At 47.3% G+C, this 22,543-nt stretch overlaps 1 protein-coding gene across 47 annotated transcripts in view, besides 6 other annotated features; it reads left to right on the forward strand.

Annotated features, from left to right (window-relative positions):
- Nucleotides 19,325-20,022: an enhancer, noted in NCBI's record as "H3K27ac hESC enhancer chr17:65820867-65821564 (GRCh37/hg19 assembly coordinates)". NCBI's record gives its function as "activates a minimal SCP1, AML or CMV promoter by ChIP-STARR-seq in naive H9 embryonic stem cells {active_cell/tissue: H9 hESC(naive)}" and the evidence as "EXISTENCE:reporter gene assay evidence [ECO:0000049][PMID:30033119]".
- Nucleotides 19,931-20,000: a silencer, noted in NCBI's record as "silent region_8877". NCBI's record gives its function as "represses an Ori minimal core promoter by ATAC-STARR-seq in GM12878 lymphoblastoid cells {active_cell/tissue: GM12878}" and the evidence as "EXISTENCE:reporter gene assay evidence [ECO:0000049][PMID:35858748]".
- Nucleotides 20,023-20,718: an enhancer, noted in NCBI's record as "H3K27ac hESC enhancer chr17:65821565-65822260 (GRCh37/hg19 assembly coordinates)". NCBI's record gives its function as "activates a minimal SCP1, AML or CMV promoter by ChIP-STARR-seq in primed H9 embryonic stem cells {active_cell/tissue: H9 hESC(primed)}" and the evidence as "EXISTENCE:reporter gene assay evidence [ECO:0000049][PMID:30033119]".
- BPTF (bromodomain PHD finger transcription factor) overlaps nucleotides 20,077-22,543 on the forward strand; it is a 158,876-nt gene continuing 156,409 nt past the window's right edge. For all 47 annotated transcript variants that reach the window (XM_005257150.4, XM_005257154.4, XM_005257159.3 and 44 more), the window contains exon 1: nucleotides 20,077-20,911. In XM_005257150.4, coding sequence (XP_005257207.1) covers nucleotides 20,299-20,911 — 613 coding nt within the window. In that variant the 5' untranslated portion in view covers nucleotides 20,077-20,298. The remainder of the gene's footprint in view (nucleotides 20,912-22,543) is intronic.
- Nucleotides 20,201-20,250: a silencer, noted in NCBI's record as "silent region_8878". NCBI's record gives its function as "represses an Ori minimal core promoter by ATAC-STARR-seq in GM12878 lymphoblastoid cells {active_cell/tissue: GM12878}" and the evidence as "EXISTENCE:reporter gene assay evidence [ECO:0000049][PMID:35858748]".
- Nucleotides 20,431-20,630: a silencer, noted in NCBI's record as "silent region_8879". NCBI's record gives its function as "represses an Ori minimal core promoter by ATAC-STARR-seq in GM12878 lymphoblastoid cells {active_cell/tissue: GM12878}" and the evidence as "EXISTENCE:reporter gene assay evidence [ECO:0000049][PMID:35858748]".
- Nucleotides 20,681-20,950: an enhancer, noted in NCBI's record as "active region_12632". NCBI's record gives its function as "activates an Ori minimal core promoter by ATAC-STARR-seq in GM12878 lymphoblastoid cells {active_cell/tissue: GM12878}" and the evidence as "EXISTENCE:reporter gene assay evidence [ECO:0000049][PMID:35858748]".

Genomic DNA, 22,543 nt, shown 5'->3' on the forward strand with positions numbered 1-22,543 from the left:
AAAGTTTGGCTCTGTCACCCAGGCTGGAGTGCAGTGGTGCAATCTTGGTTCACTGCAATCTCTGCCTCCCGGGCTCAAGCAATCCTCCTGCCTCAGTTTCTTAAGTAGCTGGAACTACAGGCACGTGCCACCATGCCTGGCTAATTTTTGTATTTTTTGTAGAAAAGGGGTCTCAATATGTTGCCCAGGCTGGTCTTGAATTCCTGGGTTCAAGTATCCACCCACCTCGGCCTCCCAAAGTGCTGGGATTACAGGTGCAAGCCACCACGCCCAGCCAAAAAAATGTTAAGTGTTAAATCAAAAAGAAAAATCACCAAGCCATTTTGCATATTTTTCTGGAGAGATATAGATACAGACACAGATATATATGTAGAGAGAGATAAAGATATACAGATAGATCTGGACTGGACACCTTATGATAATATAGTATCAGTTGGGTATAACTTTGTTCCGGAAAGGACAAAGGGAACTTATTAAAGAAGACTTAAGGCATATATATGTAATGTTTTCCCAATTCCTCATACCACTTCTTTTTATTAATTTTTATTGAGATATAATTAATTTATCTACCATAAATTCACCCTTTTAAATAAGTACACAATTTAGTGGGTTTTAATATAGTATTCACAAGGTTATACAACCATCACCACTATTTGATTCCAGAACATCTGGCTGGGCTCGGTAGCTCACACCTGTAATCCCAGCACTTTGGAAGGCTGAGGTGGGAGAATCACCTGAGGCCAGGAGTTTGAGACCAGTCTGGCCAACATGGTGAAACCCCGTCTCTACTAAAAAAAATATAAAAATTAGCCGGGTGTGGTGGTGCATGCCTATAATCCCAGCTACTTGGGAGGCTGAGGCAGGAGAATTGCTTGAACCAGGGAGGCGGAGGTTGCAGTGAGCCGAGATTGCACCACTGTACTCCAGCCTAGGTGACAGAGCGAGACTCTGTCCCAACAAATAAACAAACAAACAAACAAAAACAGAACATTTTCATCAACCCAGAAAGAAGCCCCCAAATCACTGGCCCTACTCCCCATTTCCTCTCCCATTTCCTGGCAAGTATTTATTTACTTCCTATGAATTTGCCCCTTCGGGACATTTTAAATAAATGAAATCATACAATATGTGATTTCACTAAATAAGACTTTTGTGTGTGGCTTCTTTCAAATAATTTTTAAAATTGTGGTAAAGTATGCATAACATAAAATTTACACTCTAACCACCACCCCCCTTTTTTTTGAGACAGGGTCTCCCACTCTGTCTTCCAGGCTGGAGTGCAGTGGTATGATCACGTCTCACTGCAGCCTCAAACTCCCCGGGCTCAGATGATCCTCCTACCTCCGTCTCACAAGTAACTGGGACCGCAGGAACACACCACCACACCTGGCTAATTTTTGCATTGTTTGTAGAGATGGGGTTTCACTGTTGCCCAGGCTGGTCTTGAACTCCTGGACTCTTGTGATCCACCCACCTCGGCCTCCCAAAGTGCTGGGATTACAGGCGTGAGCTACCACACCTGGTTGTCTCTAACCATTTTTAAGTGTATATTTGAGTAGTGTTAAGTATATTCACATTGTTGTACAACCAATCTCCAGAACTTTTTCATCTTCCCAAATTGAACCTCTGTACCTATTAAACACTAACTCCCCATTCTCTCCTTCTCCCGGCCCATGGTAACCACCCTTCTACTTTCTGTCCTTTTTTTTTTTGAGACAGAGTCTCGCTCTGTCACCCAGGCTGGAGTGCAATGTCGGGATCTCAGCTCACTGCAAGCTCCGCCTCCCGGATTCAAGTGATTCTCCTGCCTCAGCCTCCTGAGTAGCTGGGATTACAGGCGCCTGCCACCACACCCAGCTAATTTTTTTGTATCTTTAGTAGAGACAGGGTTTCACTATGTTGGCCAGGTTGGTCTTGAACTCCTGATGCCGTGATACGCCTGCCTCGGCCTCCCAAAGTGCTGGGATTACAGGTGTGAGCCACCATGCCCGGCCTACTTTCTGTCTTTATGAATTTGACCACTCTAGGTACCTCATATAAGTGGAATCACACAGTATTTGTCCTTTGGTGACTGGCTTATTTCGCTTAGCATAATGCCCTCAAGGGTTCTCCATGTTGTAATATGCGTCAGAATTTCCTTCCTTTCAAGGCTGAATAATATATCTGTTACATGGATCAATCACATTTGGGTTATCCATTCATCAGTTAATGCACATGTAGGCTGTTTCCACCCTTTGGTCATTGAGAATAATGCTGCTGTATACATATGTATGTATGTTTTTGCATGACCATTTGTTTGCAATTCTTTTGACTATATATGTATCAATAGAATTAGTGGGTCATATGGTAGCTCTAAGTTTAACTTTTTGAGTAACTGCCAAAGCATTTTCCACAGTGCTACATGGTTTCACATTCTCGCTAACAATATATAATGGTTCCAATTTCCCCAAATCCTCTCCAACACTTTTTATTTTTATTTTTTTAAAACAATTACAGTCATGCTAGTGAATGTGAAGTGGCATCTCATTGTGGTTTGGGTTTTAATTTTATAATATTTTAATTTTTAAAATCAAAAGAATATACTTTGGCCAGGTGTGGTGGCTCACACCTGTAATCCCAGCATTTTGAGGGGCCGAGGTGGGTGGATCATCTGAGTTTAGGAGTTCGAGACCAGCCTGGCCAAAATGGTGAAACCCCATCTCTACTGAAAATACAAAACTTAGCCGGGTATGGTGGCAGGCGCCTGTAATCCCAGCTATTCAGGAGGCTGAAGCAGGGGAATCACTTGACCCGGGAGGTGGAGGTTGCCATGAGTCGGAATCACGCCACTGCACTCCAGCCTGAGAGGAGACTCTATCTAAAAAAAATACATATATGTGTATCTATACACATATGTGTATATGCAAAGCACAAACATCTAAGGGCAGGGCGTGGTGGCTCATGCTTGTAATCCCAGCACTTTGGGAGGCTGAGGCAGGCAGATCACTTGAGGTCAGAAGTTGGAGACCAGCCTGGCCAACATGGTGAAACCTCATCTCTACTAAAAATACAAAAATTAGCTGGGTGTGGTGGCAGGTGCCTGTAATCCCAGCTACTTGGGAGGCTGAGGCAGGAGAATCGCTTGAACCCGGGAGGCGGAGGTTGCAGTGAGCCAAGATCATGCCACTGCACTCCAGCCTGGGCAACAGAGGGAGACTCAGTCTCAAAAACAACAACCAAAAAACACATCTAAGGTTATATTGGTACAAACAGGAGAATTATTCACATAACTAACAAAATGTTAAAGAGTAAGTCAGAGATGGGCTCTGGGTTGACATGAACTGATGGTATTCTTTCTAGGAGGATGAGAGGATTTAAAATCTCTTAGCCAGGCCAGGCATGGTGGCTCACGCCTGTAATCCCAGCACTTTGGGAGGCCAAGGCAGGTGAATCACTTGAGGTCAGGAGTTTGAGACCAGCCTGGCCAACATGGTGAAACCACATCTCTATTAAAAATACAAAAATTAGCTGGGTGTGGTGGTGCACACGTGTAATCCCAGCTACTCTGGAGGCTGAGGCAGGAGAATCGTTTGAACTGAGTGGCGGAGGTTGCAGTGGGCTGAGATCTTGCCATTGTACTCCAGCCTGGGTGACAGAGCGAGACTCCATCTCAATCAATCAATTAATAAAAATAAAATCTCTTAGCCAGGTGCGGTGGCTCACACCTGCAGGCCCAGCACTTTGTGAGGCTGAGGCAGGAGGATCACTTGAGTCCAGGGGTTCAAGATCAGCCTGGGCAATATAGTGAGACCCTCATCTCTACAATAAATAGATTATAAAAAATAAACAAAATAAATAAAATCCCTGCAAGCTTAAATGACAATTAAAAGATAAAAATTTTGAGAGTTTCCCATGTTATCAGGTCCCCAAGTTAAATATATTACGTGTATTATTTCATCGAATCCTTAAAATAATCCTATGCAATAAGGTCTTTTTTTTTTTTTTTTGAGACAGAGTCTTGCTCTGTCTCCCAGGCTGGAGTGCAGTGGCGCGATTTCGGCTCACTGCAAACTCTGCCTCCCGGGTTCACGCCATTCTCCTGCCTCAGCCTCCCAAGTAGCTGGGACTACAGGCGCCTGCCACCACGCCCGGCTAATTTTTTTGTATTTTTAGCAGAGACCGGGTTTCACTGTGTTAGCCAGCATGGTCTCGATCTCCTACCTCATGATCCGCCCGCCTCGGCCTCCCAAAAGTGCTGGGATTACAGGCGTGAGCCACCGCGCCCAACCTTTAATAAGTTCTATATTTACCTTCATTTAATAGCTGAAAAAACTAAGACTCAGAGAGGTTAAAAAAAAATACATATATATGTATATGTATATATATCTACATATGCAAATTATAACAGTATGCAGTATCCCTGGGACTAAATCCAGATCTGATTCCAGAGTATTTACATTGAACTATACCATGTGACTATCCATACATTCCTAAGTGTTCTATTAATAAAATAGTAAAGAATAAATTCATAATTTTTACTACCACTAACCTTTATTGTTTACTAGGTTTCAGGCACCACGCTAAGCTCTTTATATTCATTATTTCATTTAATGCTCATTTTATTAAACTCTATGAGGTGGGTGGGTACATTCCATTTTACAGATGAGAAGACCAAGGTCAAGAAACCTGCCCAGGCTGGATGTGGTGGCTCTTGCCTGTAATCCCAGCACTTTGGGAGGCTGAGGCAGGTAGATCACTTGAGGTCAGGAGTTCAAGACCAGCCTGGCCAACATGGTGAAACCTCATCTCTACTAAAAATACAAAAATTAGCCTGGTGTGGTGGTGTACACCTGTAATCTCAGCTATTCCATAGCCTGAGGGAGGAGAATCGCTTGAACCTGGGAGGTGGAGGTTGCAGTGAGCCGAGATTGCACCACTGCACTTCAGCCTGGGTGAGCAAGCAAGACTCTGTCTCAAAAGAGACCTGCCCAGGATCACAGAGCTGGCCCCCAAACATTTTGTCTTCCCATTGTTTCCCAAGCAAGCTGAATTCACTCTGTTCAGAATGTTCTTCTCCAGTTCTTCACATTGACCACTTCTTATATACTCAAGTTTGAGCTCAAATGTCACCTCCTTACAGAAGCCTTCCCCCTTGACCTCATCCAAAGTAGCATTCATTGTACACCTACCAGCATACAGTAGGCACTCAATAAATATTTGTTGAGTGAGTAAGGGAAGGCATTCCATGAAAATTCCTACTGCCCAAAATTGCTTCCTCCATTCTCAAAGTCCAGAACGCCTTGCCTACCTGACTCAGTTCCTGCCTGACTTCTGGTAATGCCACCTTCTTTGAATACCTATAAGACTGTCAACCCTCACTCATCCAGCAGTTCCAGTCTCCTCAATTCTGAAATAATCCTTCCCTTCACTCTCAACCACTGGAGTTCTCCTTTTGTTTATTTATTTTTATTTTAGTTATTTTTTTTTTTGAGACGGAGTCTCGCTCTGTCACCTGGGCTAGAGTGCAATGGCGAGATCTTGGCTCACTGCAACCTCCGCCTCCTGGGTTTAAGCGATTCTCCTATCTCAGTCTCCCCAGTAGCTGGGATTACAGGCACCCCACTACGCCCAGCTAATTTTTTGTATTTTTTTTTCTTTTTTTTGAGATGGAGTCTCGCTCTGTCGCCCAGGCTGGAGTGCAGTGGTGTGATCTTGGCTCATTGCAGACTCCACCTCCCTGGTTCAAGCGATTCTCCTGCCTCAGCCTCCCGAGTAGCTGGGACTACAGGCGCCCGCCACCATGCCTGGCTAATTTTTGTATTTTTATTAGAGACGGGGTTTCACCATATTGGCCAGGCTGTTCTCAAACTCCTGACCTCGTGATTCGCCTACCTCGGTCTCCCAAAGTGCTGGGATTACAGGCATGAGCCACCGTGCCCGGCCTATTTATTTATTTATTTATTTGAGATGGAGCCTCACTCTGTCACCCAGGCTGGAGTGCAGTGGCATGATCTCAGCTCACTGCAACCTCTGCCTCCTGGGTTCAAGCGATTCTCCTGCTTCAGCCTCCTGAGTAGCTGGGATTACAGGTGCATGCCACCATGCCTGGCTAATTTTTGTATTTTTAATAGAGACAGGGTTTCGCCACGTTGGCCAGGCTGGTCACGAACTCCTGACCTCAGGTGATCCACCTGCCTCGGCCTCCCAAAGTGCTGGGATTAGAGGCGTGAGCCACTGCGCCTGGCCTGGAGTTCTCCTTTTATATGTTCAACAACAAATTTCTCTTGAGTCTCTACTATATCTTGCTAGATGTGTTGGAAAAAGATGAATAAATGCAGTTCTACCCTCCACTTGTAGGTGGAGCGGAAGTGTAAACAAGCAACTTCAACACAGTGGGAGAGGTGCTAAAGAGAGACACGAGTGGTCACTGGGGCAGTGCACATAACCAAAAATAAAGAGAGACATATACAAGACTCAGTGGTGGCTCAGTAGAGCAAAGCCAGGCAAAAGATGACACAGCCGTAAACAAACCAAAATTCACCATCAACATATTTTGAAAGTAAGTGGTGGTGTTGATTTCAAATCTTGGCTTCATCATGCAGTAGCTGTGTGGCATTGGGAAAATTACATATCCTCTGAGCACTAGTGTCTACCCGGGGAAAATACTACCTACTCCAGAGGGTTATCTATGGTGAAATTTAAAGGAAATAATGCACATAAAGTGCTTAGCCCTGTCTCTGGCACATAATGGTACTTCCAAATTAGTACTGAAAAAAAATGTATATTTTTATTTATTTTATTTTTTATTTTTATTTTTTGGTGAGGTGGAGATTTACTCTTGTTGCCTAGGCTGGAGTGCAATGGCATGATCTCGGCTCACCGCATCCTCTGCCTCCCAGGTTCAAGCGATTCTCCTGCCTCAGCCTCCCGAGTAGCTGGGATTACAGGCACGTGCAGCTAATTTTGTATTTTTAGTAGAGACGGGGTTTCACCATATTGCCCAGGCTGATCTTGAACTCCTGACCTCAGGTGATCCGCCTGCCTCGGCCTCCCAAAGTGTTGGGATTACAGGAGTGAGCCACTGTGCCTGGCCGTATATTTTTATTTTTTAAGAGACAGGGTTTTGCTCTGTCACCCAGGCTGGGGTACGGTGATGCAATCATAGCTCATTCATTGCAACCTTGAACAGTTGGGCTGAAGTGATCTTCCCTCCTCAGCCTCCCAAGTAGCTGGAACTACAGGGGCATGCCACCATGTGTGGCTAAGTTTTTTTAAACATAGTTTTTAGAGACAGGGTCTCCCTATGTTGACCAGACTAGTTTCGAACTCCTGGCCTCAAGCAATCCTCCTGCCTTGGCCTCCCAAAATGCTGGGATTATAGGCATGAGCCACTGCATCTAGCCTGAAAAAAAATCTTAAATATAGGAAAAGAAAAAACTTTAAGCACAAAGATGTATTTATAATAGGAACATTTCTGGAACAAACTGAAAATCCTCTTCTTCTTCTTCTTTTTTTTTTTTTGAGACAGAGTCTCACTTTATCGCCCGGGCTGGAGTGCAATCTCAACTCACTGTAACCTCCACCTTATGGGTTCAAGCAATTCTTGTGCCACAGCCTCCCGAGTAGCTGGGACTATAGGCATGAGCCACCACATGTGGCTAATTTTTGTATTTTTAGTAGAGATGGGGTTTGTCATGTTGGCCAGCCTTGTCTCAAACTCCTGATCTCAAGTGATCTATCCGCCTCGGCCTCCCAAAAAGGCCAGGATTACAGGTGTGAGCCACCACGCCCAGTCTAAATATTCTCTTGATGGAGTATTATGTAGCTGTTAAACTGTAACAATGTCTGGCAGAGTCACAGATACAAAAAGTACTAGATAAAATGTGAATCTGGTGTGATCTTGGCTATGCAAATAGATACCCAAAGTCCCTGGGCCTCTCCAGCCTGCGGTTTTAAATGAGGTCACATTAGCCTTTTACCCAAATTTCACTGCCCCATTGCCCCCACCTGCTCTTCTGGACCTCTGCGAAGGCGCTGGGGGCCCTAGGGAATAGTTAAAAGTGTATGTCCCACCCACTCAAGTATTCATAAACTGTCTGTGTTTGATGGGCACAGCCACCCTTTGCCAAGCCTTCACCCTTGCCACGCCTCATAAAGAACACCTCCCTGTGGGGTTGACCAAACCACCCGGTTTGCCTGGGACTGAGAGGTTTCCTGGGATTTGGGACTTTTAGTACTAAAACTGGGAAACTCTTTGGCAAACTAGGAGAAGTTGGTCACCCTGACTCACTGTGCAAAGCTGCAATTTTTTTTTTTTGCACTTCCAAGCTGCAAAATTTTTAGATCACCGAATGGAGTTTTTTTTCTCAGCTAGAGCTCAGCTCCATTCTTCCCAAAACAGGGACTGGTGAACCTCCCAGAGGACTGGGTGAGGTGAATATTCATGTTTTAATTCAGGGGACTTTTATCCCAGGTACCAGGGAAGCAAAAAAACAAAAACAAAAACAAAACCAGTCAAAACGTTGCTTGAGAAACAGCTAATTAGAGCGTGGGTCTAGACAAGAGTTGCTGGTTTGGGAAACATGAGCATATTGGGTGGCAAGTATCATGAGACTGGACTGGGTGGTCCAAGAGACCTGTAAACAGGAGAGAAGCCTGAGGGTAATGACATTTGAGCCAATCTGCGGAGGTAAGTCAGTCCATTAAAGAAACTGAGGCCGGGCCTAGTGGCTTACACCTGTAATCCCAGCATTTGGGAGGCCGAGGCAGGCAGATCACTTGAGGCCAGGAGTTCGAGACCAGCCTGGCCAACATGGCAAAACCTGTCTCTATTAAAAATAAAAAAAGTAGCCAGGTGTGGTAGTGAGAGCCTGTAGTTCCAGCTACTCAGGAAGCTAAGGTGGGGGGATTGCTTGAACCCAGAAAGTTGAGATTGCAGTGAGCCATGATCACGCCACTGCACTCCAGCCAGGGCGACAGAGCAAGACCTTGTCTCAAGTAAATAAATAAATACAAATTACAGGCTCACACCTGTAATCCCAGCACATTGGGAGGCTGAGGCAGGCGGATCACCTGAGGTCAGGAGTTCAAGACCACCCTGGCCAACAAGGTGAAACCCCCGTCTCTACTAAAAATACAAAAATTAGCTGGGTGTGGGCCATGCGTGGTGGCTCACGCCTGTAATCACAGCACTTTGGGAGGCCGAGACGGGTGGATCACGAGGTCAGGAGATCGAGACCATCCCGGTTAACACAGTGAAACCCCATGTCTACTAAAAAAATACAAAAAAATTAGCCGGGCATGGTGGCGGGTGCCTGTAGTCCCAGCTACTTGAGAGGCTGAGGCAGGAGAATGGCGTGAACCCAGGAGGCGGAGCTTGCAGTGAGGAGAGATTGCACCATTGTGCTCCTGCCTGTGCAACAGAGCAAGACTCTGTCTAAAAAAAAGAAAAACAAAAAAGAAGCTGAGGACTAACGGGAGTGGCCAAAGAGATAGGAAGAAAACTAGGATTTGAGGTTTGTAAGTTTTGGTGCATAGTTTCTGAAATTTGTCCAGTTTCCAATTTGGCTATGCCTTCACCCTAAAGCTAGTAGTGATACTGATTGATCATGCTTCATATCATCAAGTAGACCACTCCTTCTCTCCTTCCAGCTCTGAAATGTAGGTGATTCCCCAGGGTATATATGAGGTGCTCTTAGTCTCTCTGCTTTCTCTTTTATAATAGTTTAGTCTGAGGCTGGGCACAATGGCTCATGCCTGTAATCCTAGTACTTTGGGAGGCCAAAGGGGGTGGATCCCTTGAGGTCAGGTGTTTGAGACCAGCCTGGCCAACATGGTGAAACCCCATCTCTACTAAAAATACAAAAATTAGCTGGGCATGGTGGCGCATGCCTGTAATCTCAGCCCCCTGGGGAGGCTGAGGCGGGAGAATTGCTTGAACCAGGGAGGCGGAGGTTGCAATGAGCCAAGATTGCGCCACTGTACTCCAGCCTGTGTGACAGAGTGAGACTCTGTCTCAAAATAAATAGATAAATAGTCTGCTGGCTGCAATTTTCATCTCAATGAGACTGGTTCCCAATTTATACCCCCAGCTTCAATCCTTCCAGAGCTTCAGTCTACATTTTTTTCTTTCTTTTTCCTTTTTTTTTTTTTTTTTTTTTTTTGAGACAGGGTCTTACTCTGTCACCTAGGCTGGAGTGCAAGCAGTGTGATTTTGGCTCACTGCAACTTCTGCCTCCTGGGTTCAGGTGATCCTCCCACCTCAGCCTCCTGAGTAGCTGGGACTACAGACACGTGCCACTACACCTGGCTCATTTTTATACTTTTTGTAGAGAGGGGGTCTCACCATTTTGCCCAGGCTGGTCTAGAACTCCTGACCTCAAGTGATCTTGCCGTCTTGGCCTCCCAAAGTACTGGGATTACAGGTGTGAGCCACTTCGTTCAGCCCAGTCTACATTTCAAACTGTCTCTTGGACATTTCCACCTCATTATCTTGTCAATAACCCAAATTCAGCGCACTTAAATAGGAGCAATAGCCAGATCATAATCATAGAGATCAGTATTGGAAGGAACCTTAGAGATGATCTAATCTAGACCTTCCTGATTGGAGAGCTATAGACTGATACACAGTGAATAGGATAAGAGGTGGGTGGGGATAGATATTCATCCTCCAAGCTCTCAGGGTGTACGCAGCCTCTGATCCACTTTGTTCATGACAACCTCATCCCCTGACGGGCTTAAGAGGGTGGGGTCTGATGGTGGGCAGGAGCCCACCATTGGCATTCAGTTGCATAGCACATTATTGCCTGCGTAGACAAGGGACCCACGAAGATGCTAGAAGAGTTTATCTCAGGAGCCCAAGAAGTATAAGGAACGATCCAATGTGCAGGAAGGTGTCAGAGTGTGTGTGTGTGTGTGTGTGTGTGTGTGTGTGTGTGTGTACGTGTGTGAGAGAGAGAGAGGAGAGAAAGAGATGAGGGCTGGGTGCGGTGGCTCATGCCTATAATCCCAGCACTTTGGGAGGCTGAGGCAGGCGGATCACTTGAGGTCAGAAATTCGAGATCAGCCTGGCCAACATGGTGAAACCTCGTCTCTACTAAAAATACAAAAATTAGCCGGGCGTGGTGGCTTGTGCCTGTAGTCCCAGCTACTCACGAGGCTGAGGCAGAAGAATCGCTTGAACCCAGGAGGCGGAGGTCGCAGTGAGCTGAGATCACGCCACTGCACTCCAGCCTGGGCAACAGAGCCAGACTTCATCTCTAAGAATAATAATAATAATTAATTAATTAATTAATTAAGAGATGGGGGTTGGGAATTCTGGGGCAGGCAGCTTAGAAACTCTGTCTTCACATACGTTTGTATTGGATAATTTTGGCCAATATACCACAAATGATGTCCAGGCTGTGAAGTGATTGTCCTAATAATGCATTTGTGTTCTGTCAACTGGAACCTCATCATGATTTTGAAATACTCGCTATGGCAAGTTTGATTAGATCTAAAATCCAGAAGGAATATTCTAAGTTCTTTTTTTTTTTTTTTTTTTTTTGAGACGGAGTTTCGCTCTTGTTGCCCAGGCTGGAGTGCAATGGCACGATCTCAGCTCACTGCAACCTCCGCCTCCCGGGTTCAAGCAATTCTCCTGCCTCAGCCTCCACAGTAACTGGAATTACAGGTATGCACCACCACGCCCGGCTAATTTTGTATTTTTAGTAGAGACGGGGTTTCTCCATGTTGAGGCTGGTCTCGAACTCTTGACCTCAGGTGATCCGCCCGCCTCGGCCTCCCAAAGTGCTGGGATTACAGGCGTGAGCCACTGCGCCCAGCCGGAATATTCTAAGTTCTAAGGACATTTGTCAATGAAAGAAACAAAAGAGCTTTAAATATAACTTAAATATCATTTCCACTGTTGTGAATGTTTGGTTATAAAAGATGGCTTAAATTATTTTAGCACATACAGTTGCAAATGGTTTCTTGTCATTTAAGGAGATCACGCACCAGGGGTGGTGGCTCAAGCCTACAATCCCTGCTACTTGGGAAGGTGAGGTGAGAGGATGCATTAAGCCCAGGAGTTTGAGGCTGCAGAGAGGTGTGACTGCATCACTCACTCCAGCCTGGGTGACAGAGTGAGATCCCATTTCCTATTTCTTTTTTTTTTTTTTGAGATGGAGTCTCGCTCTGTCACCCAGGCTGGAGTGCAATGGCGTGATCTCGGCTCACTGCAACCTCCGCCTCCTGGGGTCAAGCGAGTCGCCTGCCTCAGCCTCCCCAGCAGCTGGGATTACAGGAGTGCGCTACCACCACGCCTGGCTAATTTTTGTATTTTTTTTTTTTCAGTAGAGATGGGGTTTCACCATGTTGGCCAGGCTGGTCTTGAACTCCTGACCTTGTGATCCGCCCACCTTGGCCTCCCAAAGTGCTAGGACTGCAGGTGTGAACCACCGCGCTCGGCCATGAGATCCCATTTCTAAAAAAAAAAAAAAAGAAAGAAAGAAAGATAAAAAGAAACAGATCAGTTAAAGAGACTCAATCAGGACTTACCTTACATGAGCTATTTAGAGTGCAAAACAGAATAAAAAGTTAGGTATACGGATTTAAGTTCAAATTTCTCATTAAAAAAAAGAGGGCTTTTTTGGGGAAAGTGTTACAAATGCAATATTTAATATCTTCTCCATATATATTTTGTTTTTATTCCAATTGTATTCTTTAAAGAAATGTTTTAAACCACATTCCATATCCCCTGCTAATTTTCATTGGGTGCTATATATGTGGAAAGTATTGGAAAGTCTGGTTCTAACCCAGCCCCCTTAACTGATTTGTGAGCAAACTGGGGCTCGGTCAGGGTTGATTGACCCATCTGACGTCACAGAGCTAATCACTTCCTTCATAAATCAGTTCCTGTCCTCTGACTTTCTGAGCCTTAACTGCAGATGTGTGACACATTACCCAACTCATCTAAGTTTAAATCATATCAGGTTGGTTTCTCTCTGCGTGGCTGTTTTTTTTTGTTTGTTTTTCGTTTTTCGTTTTTTTTTTTTTTTTTTTTGAGACAAGGGCTTGCTTAGTTGCCCAGACTGCTGGAATGTAGAGGCACAATCATAGCTCACTGCAGCCTCAAACTCCTGGACTCAAGTGTTCTTCCCACCTCAGCCACTCAAAGTGCTGGGATTACAGGTGTGAGCCACCACACCTAGCCTGTCATATTCCATCCAATCTGAACTCCCTCCCAGGTTTAAGGAACCCTTCACATTATATGTAGCCTGTAACCCACTATGGGAACTAAGATGCCAGGCACTTGCCATCATGGTCCCTCCTGCTGCTAGACCCTGCACTCAGGCACACCCAGCGCAGCCTTTTAGCTGGAAGCCAGAACAGCTGTGAAGCAGTGGCCCTGGATTGATGCTTTACCAGGACAAGCTGGGCTTTCTGCCAGGCAGCTGCCATCATGCTGTCCTCACTGGTCCAATTCTATAGCCTGATTTTGGACACTTGTTGGCTGCAAAGTCTCAGAGCCTCATTCTTGGGCACTATCAGAGATTCTGTGAGCTTGAAGTAGGCAATGGTTCTGTTGCTTGCCATCAAGAACTCAACCGATAGGCCAGGCATGGTGGCTCACGTCTGTAATCTCAGCACTTTGGGAGGCCAAGGTGGGCAGGTCACCTGAGGTCAGGAGTTTGAGACCAGCCTGGCCAACATGGTGAAACCCCAACTCTATTAAAAATACAAAAATTAGCCGGGCATGATGGCATGTGCCTGTAATCCCAGCTACTCAGGAGGCTGAGGCAGGAGAATCACTTGAACCCGGGATGCAGAGGTTACAGTGAGCCGAGATCATGCCACTGCACTCTAGCCTGGGCATCAGAGCCAGACTCCATCTCAAAAAAAAAAAGACAAGTGCCATAAAAGGCTCACATTTGCCGGGCGCGGTGGCTCACGCCTGTAATCTCAACACTTTGGGAGGCTGAGGTGGGTGAATCACAAGGTCAGGAGTTTGAGACCAGCTTGGCTAACATGGTGATACCCCGTCTTTACTAAAAATACAAAAAAAATTAGCCGGGAGTGGTGACTTACACCTGTAGTCCTAGCTGCTTGGGAGGCTGACGCAGGAGAATCGCTTGAACCCAGGAGGTAGAGGTTGCAGTGAGCCAAGATCATGCCACTGCACTCCAGCCTGGGTGATAGAGCAAGACTCCGTCTCAAAAAAAAAAAAAAAAACCAATAAAGAAATTGGTACCAGAGTGGTGGTAGGCCGTAGATGCTCAGGGAAATGGAATGGGAGTGGTCTGTAACTCTCACTCTAGTCTTCTGCGGCCAATGGTAGAAAATATGTATCTAGTAATACAGAATGAGACTCTGACAGCCAATTTGACATTGTTTGGAGCACAGTGTTTGCAATCAATGGCAAAAGATTTTAACAAAATCACCCATGCCACCTGGACTTCAAGGCAAGTCTTGAAGACTGGCCATAGCTAAGGGACATATAACAGATGTAATGAAGTTCTCTGGAGGCTGAGGCAGGAGAATCGCTTGAACCCAGGAGGCGGAGGTTGCGGTGAGCTGAGATTGCGCCATTGCACTCCGGCCTGGGCAACAAGAGCAAAAGTCAATCTCAAAAAAAAAAAAAAAGAAGTCAAGGACTATGGATGGGGTGATTTCATTTGACAGTACTGGATGCTTGGTGGCTCTCTTTGGATTTAGAAGACTAGATATACAAGGCTGGGCATGGTGGCTCATGCCTGTAATCCCAGCTCTTTGGGAGGCTGAGGCAGGTGGATCACCTGAGGTCAGGAGTTTGAGACCAGCCTGGCCAACATGGTAAAACCCCGTCTCTACTAAAAATACAAAAATTAGCTGTGTGCCTCGAATCCCAGTTACTTAGGAGGCTGAGGCAGGAGAATCACTTGAACCCAGAAGGCAGAGGTTGCAGTGAGCCAAGGTTACGCCACTGCACTCTAGCCTACGTGACAGAGTGAGACTCCGTCTCAAAAAAAAAAAAAAAAAGAAGAAGAAGAAGACTATATATACCACGTTTGTTTGTGCTGCCTTAACCCATTTTCAGAGTGACCTGAGGCCTTGCTAACATTGAGCCACAAGGCAGAGCAAGAGAAGATTCTTCAGCAGGTCCAGGCTGTGGTGCAAGGACTTCTGCTAATTGGTCCTCATGACCCAATGTACCCAACAGCACTCTCTGGACAACCACATACTGGGGTGCTGTATGAAGGGCGCATGAAAACCCTGCAAAGGAGCATCCTATGGTTGTGCTTAGGGTTTTGGATCAAAGCCTTGCTCTCTTTGGCTAATAAATATTCTTTCTGGAAACTGGTCTTACTTTGCTCCTGGGCCCCAGCAAAGATTGAAAGCCAGGTGACCACATACCTGTGCAGCTTGTCAGGAACTGAGTATTTGTTCCACTTAGCCAAAAAATGTCCAGTAGCGCTCCCTTCCCCAAGAAGACATGTCGTAGGCTGGGCGCAGTGGCTCGTGCCTATAATCCTAGCACTTTGGGAGGCTGAGGCGGGCAGATCACTTGTGGTCAGGAGTTGAAGACCAGCCTGGCCAACATGGCGAAACCCTGTCTCTACTAAAAAAAAATACAAAATTAGCTGGGCAAGGTGGCAGCCACCTGCAGTCCCAGTTACTCAGGAGGCTGAGGTGGGTGGATGGCTTGAGCCCGGCAGGTGGAGGTTGCAGTGAGCCAAGATCGCGCCACTGCACTCCAGCCTGGGTGACAGAGCGAGACCATTTCTTGAAAAAAAAAAAAAAAAGTTATGCAAAACACCTCTCATTCCATCTATTGTACACTTTTTGTAAATAATTTTGCTTTACTATTCAATTATAAATTTTGAAGGGTATTCCCACTTCTAATATCTTTGTATTCCCTATAATACATAGCATACTTATTTAATTTTAGAGCTGGGGATCTCACTATGTTGCCTCAAACTACTGGGCTCAAGTGATCCTCTCACCTCAGCCTTCCAAAGTGCTGGGATTACAGGTATGAGCCACCGCACCTGGCAGTACATAGCATTTTACACACTATGTAGGATATACATTGCAAACTAGTAGACTCTGGGCTATATCCAAACTGCCTATTTTTTATTTATTTTTTCTTTTTTGAGATGGAGTCTTGCTGTGTCGTCCAGGCTAGAGTGCAGTGGCACGATCTCGGCTGACTGCAACCTCCACCTCCTGGGTTCAAGCAATTCTCCTGCCTCCCTAGTAGCTGGGATTGCAGGTGCACAGCGCCACGCCCAGCTAATTTTTGTACTTTTAGTGGAGACGGGGTTTCACCATGTTGGCCAGAATGGTCTCAAACTCCTGACCTCAGGTGATCAACCCACCCTAGACTCCCATAGTGTTGGGATTACAGGTGTGAGCCACCACACCGGGCCAAGACTGCTTATATTTTTATCAATCTGTAGTGTTTTGTTCTGAGACAGGGTCCTGCTCTGTCACACATGCTGGAGTGCAATATAAACATATATTAATATTTATTGAAATAAATGACTACCAAAAAGTAATTTAAAGAAAAATAGTTGTCTGGGCATGGTGGCTCACACCTTCAATCCCAGCCCTTTGAGAGACCGAGGCCAGAGAATAGCTTGAGGCCAGGAGTTCGAGACCAGCCCGCGCAACATAGTGGGACCTTGTCTCTAGAAAAAATTTGAAAATTAGCTGGGCATGGTGGTGCGCGCCTGTGGTCCCAGCTGCCCGGGAGGCTGAGGTGAGAGGATTGCTTGAGCCTGGGAGGTGGACGTTGCAGTGAGCTGCGATTGCATCACTTCACTCTAGCCTGGGTGACAGAGCAAAACCCCGTCTCAAAATTTAAAAAGAAAGAAAGAAAAGAAAGGAAACCTAACAGGATTCTGATTCTGTCCACCAAATGGCTTATTTCTTTTTTCTTTTTTTGAGACAGAGTCTCACTTTGTCGCCCAGGCTGGAGTACAGTGGTGCGATCTTGGCTCACTGCAACCTCCGTCTCCTGGGTTCAAGCGATTCTCCTGTCTCAGCCTCCAGAGTAGCTGGGATTACAGGCAAGTGCCACCACGTCCAGCTAATTTTTGTATTTTTAGTAGAGATGGGGTTGTACCATGTTGGTCAGGCTGATCTCGAACCCCTGACCTCAGGTGATCCGCCCGCCTCATCCTTCCAAAGTGCTGGGATTACAGGCATGAGCCACTGCGCCTGGTGGCTTATTTCAATCTAGATAGGAAAATATAACACATATGTGAAATGAAAAAATACAAGCACTAATTGCCAAATAAATGTATTCAATATAATTTGGTTGAGCACTATGGGTGACAAATCTGTATATGCCTCCAGGAACCAGGTAAGTAATGAAAGTCAACAAAGTAGGGGAAGATGAGGACTTGGCCAATGGAAGTGCCCCCCGCTTTTTTTTTTTTAGACAGACTTTCGCTCTGTTGCCCAGGCTGGAGTGCAGTGGTGTGATCTGCACTCACTACAACCTCCACCTCCCAGGTTAAGCGATTCTCCTGCCTCAGTCTTACAAATAGCTGGGACTACCGGTGCTCCATCACACCTGGCTAGTTTTTAGTAGAGACAGGGTTTCACCATGTTGACCAGGCTGGTCTCGAACTTCCGCCCTCAAGTGATCTGCCTGCCTTTGCCTCCCAAAGTGCTGGGATTACAGGCATGAGCCACCACGCCCGGCCCTGGCCCCGTATTTTGTTTAAAGAGGGTGGCTGGGCACAGTGGCTGTAGCTTGTAATCCCAGCACTTTGGGAGGGAGGCGGGTGGATTGCTTGAGCTTAGGAGTTTGCAGTGAACCAAGATCGCTGGGATATGCATATTTAAGGTTTCAATTTTTGTGTCTCCAAATAAAATTCTCAGTTCCTCACTACCTTTTTTTTTTTTTTGAGATAGAGTCTTGCTGTGTCACCCAGACTGGAGTCCAGTGGCACGATCTTGGCTCACTGCAGCCTCTGCCTCCTGGGTTTAAGCGATTCTCCTGTCCGCTTCCCAAGTAGTTGGGATTACACGCATGAGCCACCATGCCCAGCTAATTTTTGTATTTTTAGTAGACAGGATTTCACCATGTTGCCCAGGATAATCTCGAACTCCTGGGCTCAAGTGATCCGCCCACCTGGCCTCCTCAAGTGCTGGGATTACAGGCCTGAGCCACCGTGCCTGACCACCCTCTTCAAACAAAATATGGGCACCTCCATTGGCCTAGGTCTTCATCTTGCCTACTTTATTGACTTACATTACTTACCTGGTCCCTGGAGACATATACACATTTGTCACCCTTAGAGCTCGACCAAATTGTATTGAATGCATTTCTCTGGCAATTAGTGCTTGTATTTTAATTTTCATTTCACATATGTGTTCCATTTTCCTAACAAGACTGAAATAAGCCATTTGGTATGCAGAATTCTGTTAGATATTTTTATTTTTATTTTTTTGAGACGGAGTCTTGCTTTGTTGCCAGGCTGGAGTGCAGTGGTGCGATCTCGGCTCACTGCAACCTCCACCTCCCAGGCTCAAGCGATTCTTCTGCCTCAGCCTCTGGAGTAGCTGGGACTACAGGCACGCACCACCACGCCTGGCTAACTTTTGTATTTTTAGTACAGAACTTTTGCATTTTTAGTAGAGATGGGGTTTCACCATATTGGCCAGGCTGGTCTCAAACTCCTGCCCTGGTGATCCGCCCTCCTCAGCCTCCCAAAGTGCTGGGATTACAGGCGTGAGCCACCGCGCCCAGCATCTTTTTTAAAAAAAATTGAGACAGGGTCTTGCTCTGTCACCCAAGCTGGAGTGCAGTGGTGCAATCACGGCTCACTGCAACATCCACCTCCCAGGCTCAAGCAATCCTCCCACCTCAGCCTCTCGCTAGCTGGGACCACAGGTGCACACCACCATGCCCGGCTAATTTTTCAAATTTTTTCTAAAGACGAGGTCCTGCTATGTTGCCCAGGCTGGTCTTGAACTCTTGACCTCAAGCTATCATCCGGCCTTGGCCTCTCAAAGGACTGGGATTGCAGGTGTGAGCTACCACGCCCGGCCAACTATTTTTCTTTAAATTACTTTTCGGTTGTCACTTCTCTCAATAAATATTCATATGTTTATAACACCTTTCTCTTATCTAAAGAGCTGACCTCAACCACTCAGGGTTGAGTCGCTGTGATAAGGTTTGAGGGTGCCTGAAATGTCATCATGATTCGTCCTTTGGGCTAAGCTGAAACCTAGTGACTTGTCAGGTCAATAAATTAAGGTTATTTCCCGATAATACAAACATTTAACACCGTGAAGTAGGTTTTAGGCAGGATTCCCTCTTTTCCACTGCAAAGGAGAGGTAAGTTCTTGCTGAGGTGATCGAAGTCCTAGCTGGGGCACTGGGAAGGTGGCGGGACATTGGAACGTGCAGTAGTTGCGTTCTGGAGTTTACTGAGGCTTTCCCAGTGCGGATTCCACGCTACAGGTCTTAGGGCGCCCCTCCCTCCGGGCGTGGCAGCCCGGGGCGTGGCTCCTGGCACAGATCCGGAGCAGTTGTCATTGGAGTCATTTTCTGGACTCCAGCTCCATGCTTCAGAGTTTCCTAAGTTCAGGGGGCTTGTCTCTCTGTCCCCTCGACTAATTTCCCTCTGTCGCTGGCGCTGCCCGGTGCCCTCGGTCGCTTGGGCCGCCCCTCTCCGCGACTTTTTTTTTTCTTTCTCTCGCTGGCTCTTTCAGCATCAGTTTCCATAGGGGGAGGGAAGGGAATGATATTTGGGGGCTCCCTTGCCTTCCTCTCCGAGCCGCGAAAGGGGAGACGCGGGGAGGAGGTCCGGCCGGCTTTGGGCTCCAGCCAGCGGTCCGCGGAGACTTTGGTCTCCGAAGGCCTTTGACGCCGGGCATTTCGCGAGCTGCGCGCCCCTCTCAGCCGCGCCACCTGCGCCCGGAGTTTTGCCGCGCCACCCGCGCCCGGAGTCCAGCCGCACCGCGCTGTGCCGAGCCCAGGCGCCCAGGGCTCCCCGCCCCCGACTCGACGCTCCCGCGCTCCCCCTAGCGGCCGCCGCGCCGCTTCGCTCCGTCCCAGGCTCGTCGGCGGCGCAGCTCACGTGACCGCGCTCTGGGCCTGCGGCCGCTGTCGGTTCCCCCAGTCACCGAGCGAGAGGGAAGAAACAAGATGGCGGCTGAAGGCGATCCGGAGTGGGGCCCCAGCAATTCGGATTGAGCCTTCTCCCTCCACCCGCTTCCGTCGGCCGGGCCCCTCCCGCCCGGCCCCGCGGGCCTCCCCACCCGGCCCCGGCGCTCCCCACCGCCCCCCCTGCGCCCGCCCCTCCCCCTTCGCTTTCCTTCTCCCCCCGCCTCGGCTCCGACATGAGGGGCCGGCGGGGCAGGCCGCCCAAGCAGCCCGCGGCTCCCGCTGCGGAGCGCTGCGCCCCGGCCCCGCCGCCACCGCCGCCGCCGCCCACGTCCGGACCCATCGGGGGGCTCCGCTCGCGGCACCGCGGCAGCAGCCGGGGCAGGTGGGCCGCCGCCCAGGCTGAGGTGGCGCCCAAGACGCGGCTGAGCTCGCCCAGGGGGGGCAGCAGTAGCCGGAGGAAGCCGCCGCCGCCGCCGCCGGCCCCCCCCAGCACCAGCGCCCCGGGCCGGGGGGGGCGAGGAGGCGGGGGCGGCAGGACGGGGGGCGGGGGCGGCGGCGGCCACCTGGCCCGGACCACCGCGGCCCGGAGGGCCGTCAACAAAGTGGTGTACGATGACCACGAGAGCGAGGAGGAGGAGGAAGAGGAGGACATGGTCTCCGAGGAGGAGGAGGAGGAGGACGGCGACGCCGAGGAGACCCAGGATTCTGAGGACGACGAGGAGGATGAGATGGAAGAGGACGACGATGACTCCGATTATCCGGAGGAGATGGAAGACGACGACGACGACGCCAGTTACTGCACGGAAAGCAGCTTCAGGAGCCATAGTACCTACAGCAGCACTCCAGGTACCCACCCAGCCCAGTTGCTGCAGACTCCTTCCCCACCTCCTCTGCCCTCCCCCCTTGCTCACTCGTGTGCTGTGCATCCTGCTCCGATCTCCCCCCAACCCCGCCTCCCCCCCAAACAGAGGGGAAATGCGACGGCACATCAAGTGGCAAAAAACTAGATTTACAAGAGGAAAGAGGCGCATTGTTCAAAATGGAGATTGCATTGTTGCAGTTTGCAGGCCACACTCGCTCGCTCTCTCTCCCCCCCCCAACCCCCTTTTTTTCCTCTTCAAAATTTGTGCCAGTGCAGTGTCTCCACCGGGCAGGATTGAAACTTTGGCAAACACATATCCATTGCATTCATTTTTCTCCCCTTGTTTTGGTGTGGTTTTCTGGAATGAAAGAAGCCTCTTGTTTTGCAAACCTCTTTGCATTTCTAATGTGGTTTCTTTCGGATTTTTATTATATATCTGTTACTTAAAAGGGAATTAAGGATTTGGACAGATTGTGGTACACAAACACGCACAAAAAAATGCGTTTTCACACCCCTAGCTGTGGTTTTAAAATTGTGTTAAGGAAACGGATCATTTGGGTTAGTAGGGGAACCTTATCTGGTCCTGTGTGTTTGTTTTTATTCTTCGAGTGCTAATGGGCCCGTGCAACAGTTGCTGTTAAATGGCTGATTAAAAAGCAACGCAGAAAGCCAAACAAGACCCAACCAAATTTGGTTATTCATCCGATTCAGAATTATTTTGGTTAAATCAAAAATAAAAGTACAAAACTACAGGAACGCGCGTCTTAACTCATTTGATCGCTTTGCCTTGCTTGGGAAATGCAGTTTCGTGTCACCTGTTGCAGAAGATATGTAGTTGATCATCTAGACATAATTGCCGAAGATGAACTTCTGGAACAACTTCTAAGTCACACGGCATCAGTATCAGATTTATTACACAACGACTTTTTCTTTTCACTCTATTTCTGAGGAAAAAGCCCTCCCGAAATCCGTAATGAATTTCTCCATGGTAACCCCTCTTCTGTTTTCTCACAGAAAGTTTCTCTAGGCTGGTGCCGAGATGCATTTGGTGAAACACCCCCGGCCCCCCGCAAAAGGCTGCTTTGTACATAGTCACAATTTACTAAATTGTGAAATTAACATAACCAAAGCAACAACCGGCAAGACTTTTCCTTTATAATTTTGCAAATCTAGATTAATTAAATTAGAATCTGGTTTTAAAAGCCTTTAAAAAATAAAGTTTATGAGAAAATATTTGTGAGGAAAAAAGACCTTTTTTTTCGTTGAAGTAAGGTGTGTCATGTCTTTCTCAGAGAGACTAGGGTAGTAGAAGTGGTTAACTTGAAAAGTTTGATTTTAATAAATGCTTAAATACTTATTGGAGAAGTAGGGTAGTATTAAGCCAAATGTGAACCCACATAGGTTGTCCTAACATAACTGAAAAAAGGTAATTTCTTTTGCCCAGTGGTCAGAATCGTTGCCAGTCTTGTCCGGGGCAGGCTGTCTGGTGAATGAAGGGAATGAATCAAGTGTCAGGTATTTATGTCTTATATGTAGAAAGGACTACATGTAAATCCTTGCCAACTTAATTTTAGTACTTTTTTTTTTTTTTTTTTTGAGAGGGAGTCTTGCTCTGT

Source organism: Homo sapiens, chromosome 17 (assembly GCF_000001405.40).
Source record: "Homo sapiens chromosome 17, GRCh38.p14 Primary Assembly".
NCBI lineage: Eukaryota > Metazoa > Chordata > Mammalia > Primates > Hominidae > Homo > Homo sapiens.